This window comes from Homo sapiens, chromosome 14 (assembly GCF_000001405.40).
Source record: "Homo sapiens chromosome 14, GRCh38.p14 Primary Assembly".
NCBI lineage: Eukaryota > Metazoa > Chordata > Mammalia > Primates > Hominidae > Homo > Homo sapiens.
In genome coordinates this window covers 91,965,674-91,982,095 of record NC_000014.9, presented here as the reverse complement: position 1 = coordinate 91,982,095, position 16,422 = coordinate 91,965,674, and the positions used below count along the sequence as shown (strand labels likewise).

Sequence of the window (16,422 nt, the reverse complement as noted above, 5' to 3'; positions counted from 1 at the left end):
CTCAACCAATCACAGATTCTGATCTAGTGGAATTCAGATTAATGAAGTTATACTGTATTAATATAATTCTTTTCCTGTGAGTTCATTGCTAAGAAGTAGAAGTTTATTTTTATTTTTAAGAGGCAGGATCTTATTTTTTTTTTTTTGTGGAGACGGTTTGTCTATGTTGCTCAGGCTGGTCTTGAACTCCTGGCATCAAATGATCCTTCTGCCTTGGCTTCCCAAAGTGCTAGGATTACAAGAGGCATGAGCAACTGGGCCTGGCCTAGAATTTTAAAAGATACTTTTCACTCAGCAGTGAACAATTATGATTATGGGACAACAAAACATTTACCATATACTCTAGACCTTCAAATTCTGTGTTGGATACAGTTGAAAATAATTGAGTTAAAAGACAAAGCAGGGCTGGGCACGGTGGCCCATGCCTGTAATCCCAGCACTTTGGGAGGCTGAGGCAGATGGATCACTTGAGGTCAGGAGTTGGAGACCAGCTTGGCCAACATGGTGAAAGCCTGTCTCTACTAAAAATACAAAAAAATTGGCCAGGTGTGGTGGCACATGCCTGTGATCCCAGCTACTCAGCAGGCTGAGGTGCAAGAAACGCTTGAACCTTGGGAGGCAGAGGTTGCAGTGAGCAGAGGGTGTGCCACTGCACTACAGCCTGGGTGACAGAGCGAGACTCTGTCTAAAAAAACAACAACAAAAAAGACAAAACAGATGCTTGTAAAGCTTAACCTCAAATTGCAAATAGTATAATATCTTTTAAAAATATATTATTTGGGCCGGGTGCGGTGGTTCACACTCGTAATCCCAGCACTTTGGGAGGCTGAGGTGGGTGGATCACTTGAGGTCAGGAGTTCAAGACCAGCCTGGCCAACATGGAGAAACCCCGTCTCTACTAAAAATACAAAAATTAGCCAGGCGTGGTGGCAGGCGCTTGTTATCCCAGCTACTCGCGAGACCGAGGCAGGAGAATTGCTTGAACCTGGGAGGTGGAGGTTGCAGTGAGCTGGGGCGCCACTGTACTCCAGTCTGGGTGACAGAGTAAGACTCTGTCTCAAAAAAAAAAAAAAAAAAAAAAAATATATATATATATATATATATAATATACATATAAAATTTGATGTTAAAAGTGATCTTGTATAACTTGAAATTCTGTAATAAAAAAGATCTAATTTCTAGCTTTTGCTTTGATTATATTTAATTAAATGAAGAGGTTAAATTTCCTTATTAGGTTTAATATTGTATCAGATTTAAATTTAGTTTTAAGGTATCCAGATGCAGATAAGACACCAGATGCAATTTATTTATTGACATATATATATGTATGTGAAATCATCTTTCTAACATTTTTTTCTTCCTTCTGTTGACTCCTTGGCCTCAAAGATGACAAACATGCAAAATGGAGGGGGGAAAACCTCACAAAATATTAACATTAAACAGAGTAATATATGTGATACTGATTCAGGCTAGATTGAAATATGAACTTTTTAGTTATTTTAAGAAATTGGATGATAAGTACTAATGCTTTATGTAGCACTTTACTATTTAGAAAAGTCACATTTGATCATTCAGTTGATTCTATCAAATTCTTTGAGATAAGCATGTTCATTTTACAAAATAGGCAACAAAGTCTGGCCCTGGTGATAGGACCATGATTCATATCCACTTCTGACTCTCAAGTTCTGTGTTCCTTTTTTTTCTCAGTCAGGTGACTGTTCAGTAAATCTGACTTGGATCTTGCCTACAGGAGCTTACTCATGAAATATCCAAATGACTTTGTAAGCAGTATGATTCATTTTAAGATGTAGTATGATTCATTTTAAGATGTTCTCTGAAGGCAGCATTGTAGTGTACTGTCATTAATTACAAATGAAATGTAAAATTATGATGTGCCAATTTGTTGCAATCAATTACATTTTATGTTCAATTTTTATTTTAAACCAAATGTTGAAGACCATGGCACCATGTCTAGGTGTTCCAGAGAAGAGACTCTGATATGGCAAGTTTTACTATGTCACAGATGTAGAGTAACTCTTTCTCCAAACTAGACTAAATCTCAGTTGCTTTATTGCTGAACTTTTAAAGTTCCCCCCTCCACCTTTTTTTTTTTTTAACTTCCAAAAAATTATTTTGGCATGTGAGATTATTTCACAGAAATATTTTATTTGGCTTAAAACTCATTTCTGAATAACCATATTTTCCCTGCCCATATAAATACAGTTCTGATTTCAAATTGTGGTTTGAATTAGGGTTCAGTTTTTGTAGAGAAATATTCAGAATCTCTGATGGGAGGAAAATAAGGGTGCTTGAAGAAAAAGAGGCATCTGTAGGGACCTTTGTAGTAGGTGTTTGACTTTCTTTTCCTTTCCAAACCCCTCATAGTTAATACCATCCTTCTAGCACCGTCCCTTAAATTCTGAGTTTTTCCCCCTAGACTCAAATATCAGAGTACATTCTAACTACTGCTTGAGTTTGCAACAGCCCTTTGCATTCCACATCACATTAGCTCAGGGACAAACTGTATGTTCTGATAGTGAGTTTAGGAAATTTTAACCCTGTCATTTTCGCCTTAAGGATGTTTTGACTCTACCTTTCTGAATACAGAGACTTTAATAAAAACCATACCAATCTTAGTAAGTTTTCATCAAGAAAGTATTTTTGATTTGGACTTCTACGCAGTTTGATTTCTTGATCAGTTTTTCATAGAGCAAAGTTAAAATTTTCTACTTTATTTTACTAAAATTTTTATCAGGCTCAGCTCTGCTTTGTGAATTTTACTCTGAAGATGTCTGTCATTTCACTTTCTCTCTCTCTCTCTCTTTTTTTTTTTTTTTTGGAGACAGGGTCTCGCTCTGTTGTCCAGGCCGGAGTGCAGTGGCACAATCTGAGGTCACTGCAATATCTGCCTCCTGGGCTCAGGCGATCCTCCCGCCTCAGCCTCCTAAGTAGCTGGAATTACAGGTTCATGCCGCCACACCCGACTAATTTTTGTATTTCTTGTAGAGACAGGGTTCTGCTATGTTGCCCAGGCTGGTCTCAAACTCCTGAGCTCAAGCAATATGCTTACCTCGGCCTCGCAAAGCACTGGGATTACAAGCGTGAGCCACTGCGCCCAGCCTCTCTTTTTAAAATAAGAGATAGTATAGAGTAGTGTTATATCCTGGTTATGTTCTAAAAGCAGTACTGTCCAGTAGGAATATACTGTGAGCCACGTGCAATTTTAAATTTTTTAGTGGCCATGTTAAAACAGTAAAAAGCTATAGGTGAAATTGTTTGATAATATGTTTTATATAGGGACAGGCACAGTGGCTCACACTTGTAATCCCAACATTTTGGAAGGCTATGGCAGGAGAATTACTTGAACGCAGGAGTTTGAGATCAGCCCAGGCAATATCGTGAGACCCCATCTCTACAAAAAATTAGAAATTAGCTGGTTGTGGTGGTGCACACTGGTAATCTCAACTATTTCCTGAGGCTGAGGCAGGAGGATGGCTTGACCCCAGGAGTTTGAGGCTGCAGTGAGCTGTGATCATGCCACAGCCTGGGCAACAGAGCAAGACCCTGTCTCAAATATATATACACACATATATATTTTATATATAACCCAGTATAACCAAATTATTATATAGACATGTAATCAATATACAAATTACTAATTTTAGAGGAAAGTAGGTAGGAGAAGGGAAGTCTCAGGGAAAGGGAAGGTGGGGGTTGGAGGTAGGTTAGCTAAGCTTGACCTCTGTTTTTCTGCTATCTTTCTGTAGCCTTGGGGAGGAATGGAGGAGGAAGGAGGAGAAGACCATGCCCATCTTTACTCTGTCTCCTACTTTAGTTTGTGAGTGGGACGGTTAAGTCAAAACAGTGACGAGAGATTAACTTATTTGCTGAGTTCTATTTACATTCAGAATATAGTGCTAGAAAAGGCCCAGATAACACCATGTGCTAGTAGTATACATGTGCACATTAGGAATCTAAAGTGTCTTTTACTGACTCAGACTTTAATAATAGTCCTGTCCACCCCCACCTTTTCGCCCTCTCTCTCCCCTTCTCTCTCTCCCTCTCTCGTCCAAGTTTAAATTCCTTACTGGAAAGACAGGAAAGGAAAAGTTCGTAGTAGATTTTCCAAATACAAACCTTGCTTTTATAATATGGTTATGGCAACCATCTCTATTTTGGTAAAATTGGCCTATTATATGAATGACATTTTGCAAGTTAGATTTTTGCAATTTAGGAAAACCACAAGCCATCGTAAACAGTTAAACGAGACATTTTATATACGAATTTAGTACCATAAATCGGAATTTTGGGCATTGTGCAGAAGCATTGTACAGAGCAGAATGAAAACATAAAGCAAACAGACCTGGCCTAATCTGTAAGGCTCAAAGGAAAATTCTTTAAGAAAGTGAGTTGGAAACAGAGACATGAAAGGTGAGGGCAGTCCTGATGGAAAAGAGCTTTCCAGGCAGGAAAAAAAAAAAAAGAAAAGAATGACAAAACATTTGCAGAATTCTTACAGTGGGAATTTAGAGTCTAGAAATATACCATACATTTATGGTCAATTGATTTCCAACAAGGTTGCCAAAAGAATAGTTTCTTCACCATATAATGCTGGAACAAGTGGATATCCATGTGCAAAAGAATGAAGTTGGACCCCTACCTCACACCATGCACAAAAATTAACTCAAAATGGCTGGTAGACCTAAATTTTAGAATTAAAACTATAAAACGCTTAAAACAGGTGTTGGGTTAGGTATAGTTTCTTAGATATGAAACCAAAAGCACAAGCAACAAAAGAAAAAGTACATTGGACTTCATAAAAATTGAAAACTTTTGTGTTTCAAAAGATATCATCAAGAAAGTGAGATGACAACTCACAGAATGGGGAAAACATGTTTGTAAATCATATCTGATAACGGAACTTGTATCCAGCTACTACTAGGAAAATGCAGCATAATTCAAAGGAAAAGGTTTGTGGCAGAGTCTAGCGTTTGGATGTGAATGTTTCTAGATAGAGCTCTCCTCTTTATTTCTTTCAGAACAAAAACTTATAATCTAGCTTAAAATTACTGAGCATCTCTTTCAGCTCAAACTATTCGTTTCTGGCATAACAGAACAGGTGTAAACTCTGTTTGACTGAGAGTTCCTTAGTCCAGAAATCCTTGCCCTGTGGCATGGCTGAATTTAGGAACAGGGTATCTCCTGTTGTAATTCTAGACTTTGCCTTTAATACTGCTTAAATTCCAACTATTCCACCAAGATTTTATGGATTTTGCTTCCTTTTTAAATAATAATTTAAAAATAAAATAGTCCAGGCATCCTTCTAAGTCAGTCATAAGCTATAGTATCTTGATTTGTATATTAGAGCCGATTACCTGAATTATATTTTGCAATTTCCTTACCCCCATAATAGTTTGTCCTATCCACTGCATCCTGAGCCATGGTCTTAGTTGTGTTAGATACGCTTCTTAGTCAGCTCACCAAAAACAGAGTCTGGCCAGGAAAATAGAAAAAGGAAAATATTAAAGTCCTTTCTACTTCCTCCTGTTAATAAGAGTGGCTCTGGAAATGTTTCATGCAAGGAGGCAGTGATGAAAATCTCTTCTTTGCTATTAAGTTTTTAAAGAGGATGAAAACGTTTCTTGGTTTTTCAGTATTGTATTACAAAGTTGATTACTTTCTTGGGAGTAAACCATGTGAATTAATGCACTCTGGCTTTTAGAGGATTTCTATATGAGAGCCTAGTTCCCTGGACCAAAGAAGAGATAGAAGTTATTGAATATTCCCAATTAGAATAAGTGTATATATTCAGAGGTTATAATAAAGATCTCATAAATTTCATTATATAGTCATCCAGACTATTTTAATCAGTTAATGGCTATCTTTATTCACATATTTTACAACAGATGAGCTCCGACAAGAAATGCTGGATGATGTACAAAAGAAATTGATGAGCTTAGCAAACAGCTCAGAAGGAAAAGTAGACAAGTATGCTTTTTGCTTTTAATGTTTGTATATTTTGTGGAAATCACTTTTATGGTTAAAAAAAAACTTCTAAATGTAGATGTTTATATGTGATTAAATTTTTCAAAAGCCTTTTTTCCCCTCACTCTTAGTGAGGAAGGATGCAGCTTTAATGAGGAGTCAGCAGAATCACTTACCTTCTTTTATTTTTAATGTGGATTTTTTTCCAGCTCATTCTTTTTCTTAAAACCATATAGAAGAGCTAAAATATCACCTCAGTAAGAAGTACTTAGAAAATAAAAAATTTATTTTTACCATTCTTTTTTGCTTCTTTTACTGTCCTTAAATGAACATAATCTTGCTCAAATGTATTAGATCTGAAACCTCAGTATATATGCAACAGTAGCTCATTTAATATTTTTTAAATGTATATATTATTAGTAAATTTTTAATACATTTGGATGGGGAAATATAAGCATAACATTAAACACAACAGTCATCACCATTTAAGTTTCTGCTTCAGGTGAACATTAGCCCAGTCAGGAGCTTGGAATTACTAAGGAGGCGCCACCTCGGTCAGTAACTGGGTTGAATAAAGTGGGTGGCTAGTAAGTGAGATTTTAAAAGATACACATTTTGGGATGTTTGAAATATTCTTTTTTATTTTATTTTTTTTGAAATATTAGACTTGTCAAGATTTTTTAAAGACACTTTAAAATATTTTGTTTAGACTTTTTTATAAGTAAATATTTAATTGTTTAATATAATTAAATATTTCTATGCTTAGTGTTTGAGTGTACTTAATGTTGAGTTCACTTGAGCTGTTTCTGCCTTTATTTTCATAGAGTCCTAATGAGAAACCTCTTCATTGGTCATTTCCACACACCGAAAAATCAGCGTCATGAAGTGTTACGGTTAATGGGGAGCATCCTGGGCGTCAGAAGGGAGGAGATGGAGCAGGTGACTGGACGATGAAAGCCATCTGAACACATTCATAATCCAGATAGTGGCTTTGTAGACAATTACTTCCTTTTACTGTATGTAACTTTTACTGAGTGTAATTTTCTCAGTGTGGAAATGGAATTACTTCATACAACATTGAAGAGGCAGATTTGTTCAATATGTATGATATTAGTTTAAATGTTTTGTAACTTACAAACTACTCATATCAGGATGCTGAAATGTTGAAATATCCCCAGACTTTCATTTGAGATGGTGCTTGGGATGGCATTTTATTGTATTTGTAGACTCTATCAGTAGGAAACATTTACTAGGACTTGAACTTGAAAAGCATGCTTTACAACTATCAGAAATTATATAAAAGTGGTCCTTGTTTTTTTTTTTTTCTTGTACTGATAATATTTGTCTGTTTTAAAATAATCTTTCAGTTGTTTCATGACGATCAGGGCGGTGTTACCAGGTGGATGACTGGGTGGCTTGGAGGAGGATCAAAAAGTGTTCCCAACACACCTTTGAGACCAAATCAGCAATCTGTGGTTAATAGTGTAAGAAACAATTTTATTCTTGCTTAAGGTGAATAGTAAAATGACTGTATATTACATTCATTTGCAAAGAATCAGATTTTTTTTTAAAATTATTTTATACAACCCTTTTATTTTGAAGTTGCAGAAACTGAGTTCCAGAGAGGTGATTAAGCTTAAGGATAACAAGCCAGTTTTCATAACTTTATTGCATATAGGTTTTATTTTAACTCTATATGGTGCTTTTATTTTTCAAAATATTAACTTTTCCTTTGTACTTGATCATGCTGCCATAGGCAGTCTTGCTACTAAATTATAGTAGCAAGATAGAGGATTTATTTTATTCGTCTATGTATGTTCCAAATCGTTGAGCCAGTGAATACTTACTGAGTACCTGCTGTGAACTAGACTGTTCTAAGCATTGAGGATGCAGCTGCAAACTGGATAGAAACGGCGCCTGCCCTCATAAAACTTAGATTCTCGAAGGAGGAAGCAGTTAATAAACATGAAAACACAGTGCCTGGTATGTTGTAGGCTCTAGATGAATATTAATTGAATTGAGTAGTAGTATCAGTTAGAATGTGGAGTTTCTTTCTCTTAGCTTTTGTTTTGTTTTGTTTTTTGAGACAGAGTCTCGCTCTGTCGCCCAGGCTGGAGTGCAGTGGTGCGATCTTGGCTCACTGCAGCCTCAGCCTCCTGGGTTCAGGCAGTTCTCCTGCCTCAGTCTCCCGAGTAGCTGGGATAACAGGCGCCCACCACCACCACGCCCAGCTAGTTTTTGTATTTTTAGTGGAGACTGGGTTTCACCATGTTGGCCAGGCTGGTCTTGAACTCCTGACCTCGTGGTCCGCCCACCTCAGCCTCCCAAAGCACTGGGGTTACAGGCGTGAGCCACTGTGCCCGGCCTCTCTTAGTTTTTTAATAAAGAGGACACGAAGGATAGGTGATTTACCCAGAGCTGGTTAAAGATAAAACCCTATTTTACTTGGCTGGCATAAAATTTAATTTAAAGGAAAGGTCTACACTACATTATTTTAATCTGACAATGTTATTTGTGATCTTTTGTTATTATATTCATTGGTTAGACCTGACTAGAAAATTATGTCTAATGTGTGTTTTCCTTTCATATAATTTTTTATGTTTGTGTTAATAGTTATTAAAATGATCAGATTCATTAAGTGCTATTCATTGATGGCAAGAAAAATAAGTATTATCAGTTGGCTAATTCTGACCATGAGGTGTTAGAAGTGAGTGTTACCATCAGACTATTGATTAAATTGTTAAATTTTTGTAATGATGATCATCTATCTAAAGTGCTAGTATTTTAGGCCAGGTGTGGTGGCTCACGCCTGTAATCCCCGCACTTTGGGAGGCCGAGGTGGGCGGATCACAGGGTCAGGAGTTTGAGACCAGCCTAACCAACATGGTGAAACCCCGTCTCTGCTAAAAATGCAAAAATTAGCCGGGCGTGGTGGCGTGCACCTGTAATCCTAGCTACTTAGATGGCTGAGGCAGGAGAATCACTTGAACCTGGGAGGCGGAGGTTGCAGTGAGCCGAGATAGTGCCATTGCACTCCAGCCTGGGCGACAGAGCAAGACACCGTCTCAAAAAAAAAAAAAAAAAAGTGCCAGTATTTTCAATTGTTCATAAAGCTGATTTGTAAAAAAAAATTATTCAAGTGGCATGATTAATTTTTAATATTTAATTAGAAAAGCTGGTACATTTCCTTAGTTGTAGTGAATATAACTTAATTATCTAGCCTAATATAACCAAAATATTTTTTCTTAGTCTTTTTCAGAACTTTTTGTTAAATTTCTAGAAACAGAATCTCATCCATCCATTCCACCACCAAAGCTTTCTGTTCATGATATGAAACCTCTGGATTCACCAGGAAGAAGAAAAAGAGATACAAATGCACCAGAAAGTTTTAAAGGTAAAACTAGAGATTTAATTTTTCTATAATTTGAAAATTGAATGTTTAATGTATGATTATGTTTCACAGTGATATTAACTAAATTTTTAGTATTTTTGGAAATGTGTAATCAGGACTTCCAGAATTCCAATAAGGCATCAGGCTTTTCCAATAAGGCATCAGGCTTTTGCTTCATATATTCTTGTAGCAATCTGATATTTAATTGACTTAGATTAATTTAAATGGTAAGAAATATATTCCCTTTGTATATCAGAATAATTCTTCTCTGTCTGCCTAACCAGCTATGAATTATTCCTCTGGAAGTGATGGGGAATTGGTTACATCTTTCTTGGCCACCTGCTTTGCTTTCTCACTAATGGTGGTTCTTGCTAATCCGAGTTAGATGTGTAGTTTATAGTTTGAGAAGGGTTTTTCTCCTTTGAAAATTTAAGTGCTACACTCAGTAACCAAACATTGGCATGTTAATATATATAAGCGCAGTTTAACAAACTGACTTGAGACTCCAAGAATGTAGAAAGCACTCTTTTATGTTGAAAGATCTGCCTAGAGCGGACGGTTGGTGGTGGTTAACGTGTACATATTTTTCTGTCTCACTAAATTGTAAGGGTTTTATTTATGTTCATATCATATATACTGGCACGCAAGAAAATTTATCAATTGAAATTGAATTATAATCTGTTGGACTATAAACAAATTCTTTATTGGAAGAGCTCTTCTGAAATCTTCATATTTTAATAGACTAATATGTTTACTAATTGGACTGTAAAGGTATATGTTATATACTCATATCACACATCAGATGCTTAAATTTGGATAAAATAATAAAGAATTTATATTCTGAAATTTTTGAAACTTCTGTCGTTTAGACAAATATTTCTATTTTTCTGAACTTGTATAGGAAGGGAAAGTAGTAAAATTTATCAGTCCTTTAGGTAGTAAGTAGTTTTGCCTGCTAAATTTTGTGAAAAGTCATAACTTTATCTAAGAGGTGTAGGCTATACTGAAAACAGTTTTTCTTTTACACTAGGTTGTAGCATCTTGAAACAGATTCCCAAATTCATTATGGCAGGCTCTTTCCCTTCCTCTCTTCCCTTCCCCTTCTTTTCCCACCCTTCCTTTCCCTTTTCTTCCCTTCTCCTTCTTTATTCTCCCTCCCTCTCCCTCCTTTCCCCTTCTTTTCTCTCACTTTTCTTCCTCTTTCCTACCTTTCCCCTTTCTTGTATCAAGTCCAGTGCCCAGCCTGATTTGTATTGATAGGATACAAAAGCTGGTGATGGCTTGGGTTGATATAGGCTTTGCATGAACAAAGCAAGCTTAATCTTTAATCTTGAATTTGGAAGTGTGTCAGAGCTCACTAGGTAACACCAGAAGCTTGCCCAGAGTTCGGAAAGTTGTCATTCATAGGAAAGTACGGCTTGGGAACCCTAAGAGTGCTCAATGATAAGCAGATTTGACAAATTTGTCTTAGTGCTTTCTTTGCTTTAGGAGGTCTTTTTTATTTGAGTTTCCCATTGCTGAAGTAGGCACCTTCAAAGGATTGCTTGTCTGTTACCATTGAAGTTGTCAGAGGTCTTGGGCATTAAAGCAGAATCTGTCCACTAAGACATTAGGAATTTACCTATTCCAATAAAAAGGAATTGTATTAGCCCAACTTCATAGAAAAATAATCTAATCAAGATTGTTTTCAAACCTTTGACTGCCTAAAAGATGATCAGGTAAGGTATGTATATATTGTTTTTTCTTCTGGCAAATATTAATTCAACTGTTATCATTGTAATATGGGTTTGTTTTTCTTTATTGTAATTATTTGGGGAGAACGTAACTCCTTAAGCCTTTCATTATTCAGATGGGTAAGTAAAGAGTTTGCCTTGCAACATAGATGACACCATTTAAAAAGCTGTTGTTATGGTAAATGAAGTTCATCAGTTACATAACTGGTATTTAAGTATAAAACAAGAGCTGTAATGTGTTTAATAAGGTATTAGATAAGCATACAAATATTCTTCTCTTGCCTTTTCTTTCCCTATTCGTTCCTCTTATTCCTTATCCTCTTTCATCCTCCTGTATTTCATAGACCTTGCTTGTGGGATCCAGAACCCCGCAGCATATGAATTAAATTTACTTGGGGGCCAAATCTGGGAACTTAAAACACATGTATAGCATTGTTTTTTTATCAGAAAATGTTTTGAATTACCAAGAGTGAACATTAGTCAGATTTTAGCCATACAAATTAGTATTTGTGTTTAGGAATTGAGGCCTGTTTGTGCTTTCATTTTTTTTTTTAATTTTAATTTTTTGTTTTTGAGATGGAGCTTTGCTCTTGCCACCCAGGCTGGAGTGCAGTGGTGCGATCTCCAGTCACTGCAACCTCCACCTCCTAGGTTCAAGTGATTCTCCAGCCTCAGCCTCCCAAGTAGCTGGGATTACAGGCGCCCGCCACCATGCCCAGCTAATTTTTTATTTTGTGTTTTTAGTAGAGACGGCGTTTCACCATGTTGGCCAGGCTGGTCTCAAACTCCTGACCTCAGGTGATCCGCCCACCTCAGCCTCCCAAAGTGCTGGGGTTACAGGCATGAGCCACCGCGCCTGGCTGCGTTTTCATTTTGAATAAAGACCAGTCCAAAAAGATGTGCTGGATGCCAGTGTTATTACCGTCAAGGGAGAATTTTTAAGTTGATAAGTGATACATTGATTATTTTTATTTATCTATGCTAATCAATTTAACAATATTACACAGATAACTTTATGCTATTACATTCAGAGTTATTTCATTTTGACTTCTTTGTGAAAGATAGGAGACTAAATCCATATTTTATTCTTTAGATACAGCAGAATCCAGGTCTGGTAGAAGAACAGATGTAAATCCGTTTTTGGCTCCTCGCTCGGCAGCTGTACCTCTTATTAACCCAGCTGGACTTGGACCTGGTGGGCCCGGGCATCTTCTTCTGAAACCCATCTCAGATGTTTTGCCCACATTTACACCTTTGCCAGCGTTACCTGACAACAGTGCTGGGGTTGTGCTGAAAGACCTTTTAAAGCAATAGATGATTCTCAAGCCAGAGACAATCTAGCACTTTAAAGAAACCATGAACACTATATGTATGTACTTTATCACAAAGTGGCCTTTGGGGAGAAAGTCATGTATTTGTTCGCAATTATGCTTTCTCTGAATTTAATAAAAATATTCCTAATGCTTTTAGAAACTGCAGGTGTCAGGAGCAAGTGTTTGCTATATAATCTGCTTTATTCCTTCTGATTTGACCTAATTTAAGCTAGGAACATTTAATTTATCTTTTACCTTAATTTACAAAAATACAGACAGACAAAAATACTAGTAGCTATATGGCAGCTTTTTATTTCCTTTTGTGATTTCCAAGCTCATTTAAGCTAGAGATTGTGGTTTATCAAGAGAGTGTTTTTTTTTTTTAAACGAAGAATAAAAAAATACTAGTAGTGGCTTCTCTGCATAGTGCAGAAAGTTGATTTGAAGCATATATTGATCATCTTTAGAGGACTTTGTGGAGACAGGCCAACAAGATTGTTGCTGGAAGGTCATAGGTTCCCTGAGGTGAAGTATGTATTTGGTCCTGTGCAATATTATCATGTGTGTAGATTCTTTTTTTGTTTGTTTTAAATAGAGATGGGGTCTCACTATGTTGCCAGGCTGGCCTCAAACTCCTGGGCTCAAGTGATCCTCCCACCTCAGCCTCCCAAAGTGCTGGGATTAAGGCATGAGCCACTGCGCCTGGCCCTGTGTGTAAATTCATGTGACTACCACCACAGGCAAGACACGGAAGACTTCCATTACAAGCATCCCCCTGTGTTGCCCTCTCATAATCATTGCCACCTCTCTCCCTGGCCCTCTCCTTAATCCCTGACAACCACTTACTGTTCTCCATCTCAGTCATTTTGTTATTTTGAGAATGTTATATAAATGGAATCAATATATACCCTCTTGAGACTGGCTTTTTTTCACTCAGCATAATTCCCTTGAGATCCATCCAAGGCTTTGGATGTATCACTAGTTTGTTCCTTTTTATTGTTGAGCATATAGTGCAGATATATCACTTAGTTTTAACAGCTAAGGTATCTATTTAAAGATACCATCTTAAAACTAAATGTTACACAAATTCATGCAACTTTCATATAAGCATTAAACCATACAGCTGCATCTACGTAAGTATAATTAGCAAAATCACTGAACATGCCACTTCCTGCCTCCGTCTGCGGTGTTGACATATGAGGTACAGCAATCCGAGAGTCAACTGTTATCACGGTGGCCACTGAGGGCAGTGAAATCACTTTGATAGCACCAGTACCCAGATGTTTGAAACTTAAGAAAGTATTTCTTTAATTTTTCATAAACCCATCATAAAAAAAAAATCCCGACTTGAAACTTAACTGTATCTGGATGTTCATATTTTTATTAGTTGTTGAAGTTGTACATTTAAAAAGATATTTCTTGCAAATTTTGTAAATTTCTATATGCTTTTAAAATAGAAACATTTGTATAACAAGGAAGGATGAAAATAAAACAAATTCAAATATGTGAATAGTCCTGGCTGAGGCCAGAACTAAATTTGGTTATTTGCAAGTTTTACTGTGATTAACTGTACTTTCTAATGTATTTGGAAGACTGGAAGTCTTAATTCCATGTTGATGGGTGAAACTTGTTTTTCTGAAAAATGAAGTAACTGAAAATGCTGCTTCAGAATGTCTTGTATCTCCTTAGATAACTAATTTATATTGCCATTCTTTATTTACTATACTTTAAAGGAAGTTGTCATGCAAGTTCTATATTAGAACTGTCAAACTGCCTCTTGGTTTTTGCCTATTATTATTTCTCTGTGAGTTGTTACTCCTTGGTTTTTATATGCTCCTAACAAAGATACTTTCACTGACTATCCTACATTATTTGCTGCTTGCCATTGAAATTTCATTTCAGTGTGGAGAAATGAAATACTAGTTTCTAAGTTAAAAAAGACACATGGTCCTTTATTTTTAAGAAATAGAATATGTAAAAAGTTTTCTCTTTTAATTTGAAAAAGAGATGCATGGTTGGTATTTAAGTAGTATGTCATCATATTTGAAATGCCTTTTGTGACATTTTTGAGTATTTCCTTCTCTGACCAAAACAACTTGTCCGCCTCTCATCCCATGGTTTAACGTAAGTTTAAAAGCTGTTGTGGGTGGATTGCATAGCTAAACATCACAGAGCATGATATTAAATGGCTGCTATTTAAATAAATATGTGACCTTGTCCTAAAGCTATAATACTGGCCGGGCACAGTGGCTCACGCCTGTAATCCCAGAACTTTGGGAGGGTGAGGTGGGTGGATCACCTGAGGTCAGGAGTTCAAGACCAGCCTGGCCAACATGGTGAAACCCCATCTCTACTAAAAATACAAAAATTAGCTGGGCATGGTGGCAGGCGCCTATAATCCCAGCTACTCAGGAGGCTGAGGCAGGAGAATTGCTTGACCCCGGGAAGTGGAGGTTGCAGTTAGCAACCACTCCACTGCACTCCAGCCTGAGCGACAGAGCGAGACTCTGTCTCAAAAAAAAAAAAAAAAAAAAAAAAGCTATAGTACCTAATGTTTTCATTGTGTCATTGAAACTATAGCTGACTGGTATGTATACTAAGTGTTCGTTGATCTAAACCAGATATAAGTCATTGACTTTTCTGAAACTTAGTTGTGTCAGAGATGAACCACCTGCTCACTGAACCGTCTTAGTAACCAGTGATGAAGCATATAATTCTAATGTTGGCAATAGGACATTGCTAACAGTGCGTTTAACTGCAATATTTTAACTACAGTAATTTTTCTGTTTATTTCTCTATCCACTCAGTAGAATTTGTGGTTGAATTCCACCTTCGCTGCCATAGTTTTTTACCACATTCCTAATGGTTTTCAACCTCTATACTGTAGTAGAAAATTCATCTAACTACTGAATTTAATTTTAGCATAATACTGGATCAAATTGTTTGAATTTTCATTCCTGTCATTTTTGATTTTTAAAAAATGAAACAAAACTAAACAACAAAACCCTAGGAAAAGAATGGCTTCTTTCCAACTAGTCAATTAAAACGTCCAGTATCTCCCCAAATAAAGCCTTAGGTTTCTTTTAACCTCTTAATGGTTAATTGAAAAGAGTACAGAAACTATCAAAATACTTATCCAATCAATGGGGGGAAAAGCTATGTCTTCAGGGACAGTAGAGTGATGAGAATTTTTTAGAAAACACTATTATCCATCAAACTTAAAAGCATTTGGACCTGATATTTAAAGATAATGAAGTTTTCCACATATTGAAGTATTCAAGACATCTTCCATCCACAAAAATTTATCTTTAAGTTTTGTAAATATCAAGTAAGTATAGATGATATTTATTTTATATATTCCTATGGAAAAAATGCTACTTTAATGTTCTGACATTTGTGATTATTTGCCAGTCTTTACTTTTTAACTTATTAAAAAGTTAAATACTTATTAAGGTTTCTCTATGTAAAACAATTTAAATTGTCTTTTGATTTTTAGGGAAATATCTAAACGTGGGAAATTTCCAACGCAACCTTAATATTAGGTTGTGTTATTTATAGAGCTAAAGTTAATGCATTTTTGAATTTCTCAGGAGCACTGCAAGGCAAAAAAATACTCCAAATAAAAATGATATATGTAAGTTGGCAATGTCTTCAGTCACAATAAAAAAAATTTTTAGCAAACAGCTGCTGACTTTTTCTTTAGAAATGATTTACACATGTTGTTTGTAGCAGTAGTTGATTAACTACTGAAGCTACTGTCTTTATTCACCGGATGTCTGCTATTAGGATACTATTTGAGCCTTGGAAATTTTAAGCATGAACAATTTAAAAGATGCTTGAGATTATGTATGAATATGAAAAGAAGATTTTCATACATAATCTCAAGCATAACCTCGTCTCTACAAAAATACAAAAATTAGCCAGGCGTGGTGGCACGTGCCTGTAATCCCAGCTACTCGGGAGGCTGAGGTAGAAGCATTGCTTGAACCTGGGAGGTGGG

The 16,422-nt window shown here is 36.3% G+C and overlaps 1 protein-coding gene across 4 annotated transcripts in view; it reads left to right on the top strand.

The window, feature by feature from the left end:
• TRIP11 (thyroid hormone receptor interactor 11) overlaps positions 1 to 16,105 on the top strand; it is a 74,069-nt gene extending 57,964 nt beyond the window's left edge. For 3 of the 4 annotated variants that reach the window (NM_001321851.1, NM_004239.4, XM_047431935.1), the window contains 5 exons: positions 5,907 to 5,988; positions 6,810 to 6,924; positions 7,353 to 7,469; positions 9,235 to 9,379; positions 12,203 to 16,105. In NM_001321851.1, the coding sequence (NP_001308780.1) occupies positions 5,907 to 5,988; positions 6,810 to 6,924; positions 7,353 to 7,469; positions 9,235 to 9,379; positions 12,203 to 12,423 (680 nt within the window). In that variant the 3' untranslated portion in view covers positions 12,424 to 16,105. Of the gene's footprint in view, positions 1 to 4,847; positions 4,971 to 5,906; positions 5,989 to 6,809; positions 6,925 to 7,352; positions 7,470 to 9,234; positions 9,380 to 12,202 lie in introns of those variants that run through there. The other variant, XR_943560.3, reaches the window with a different exon arrangement.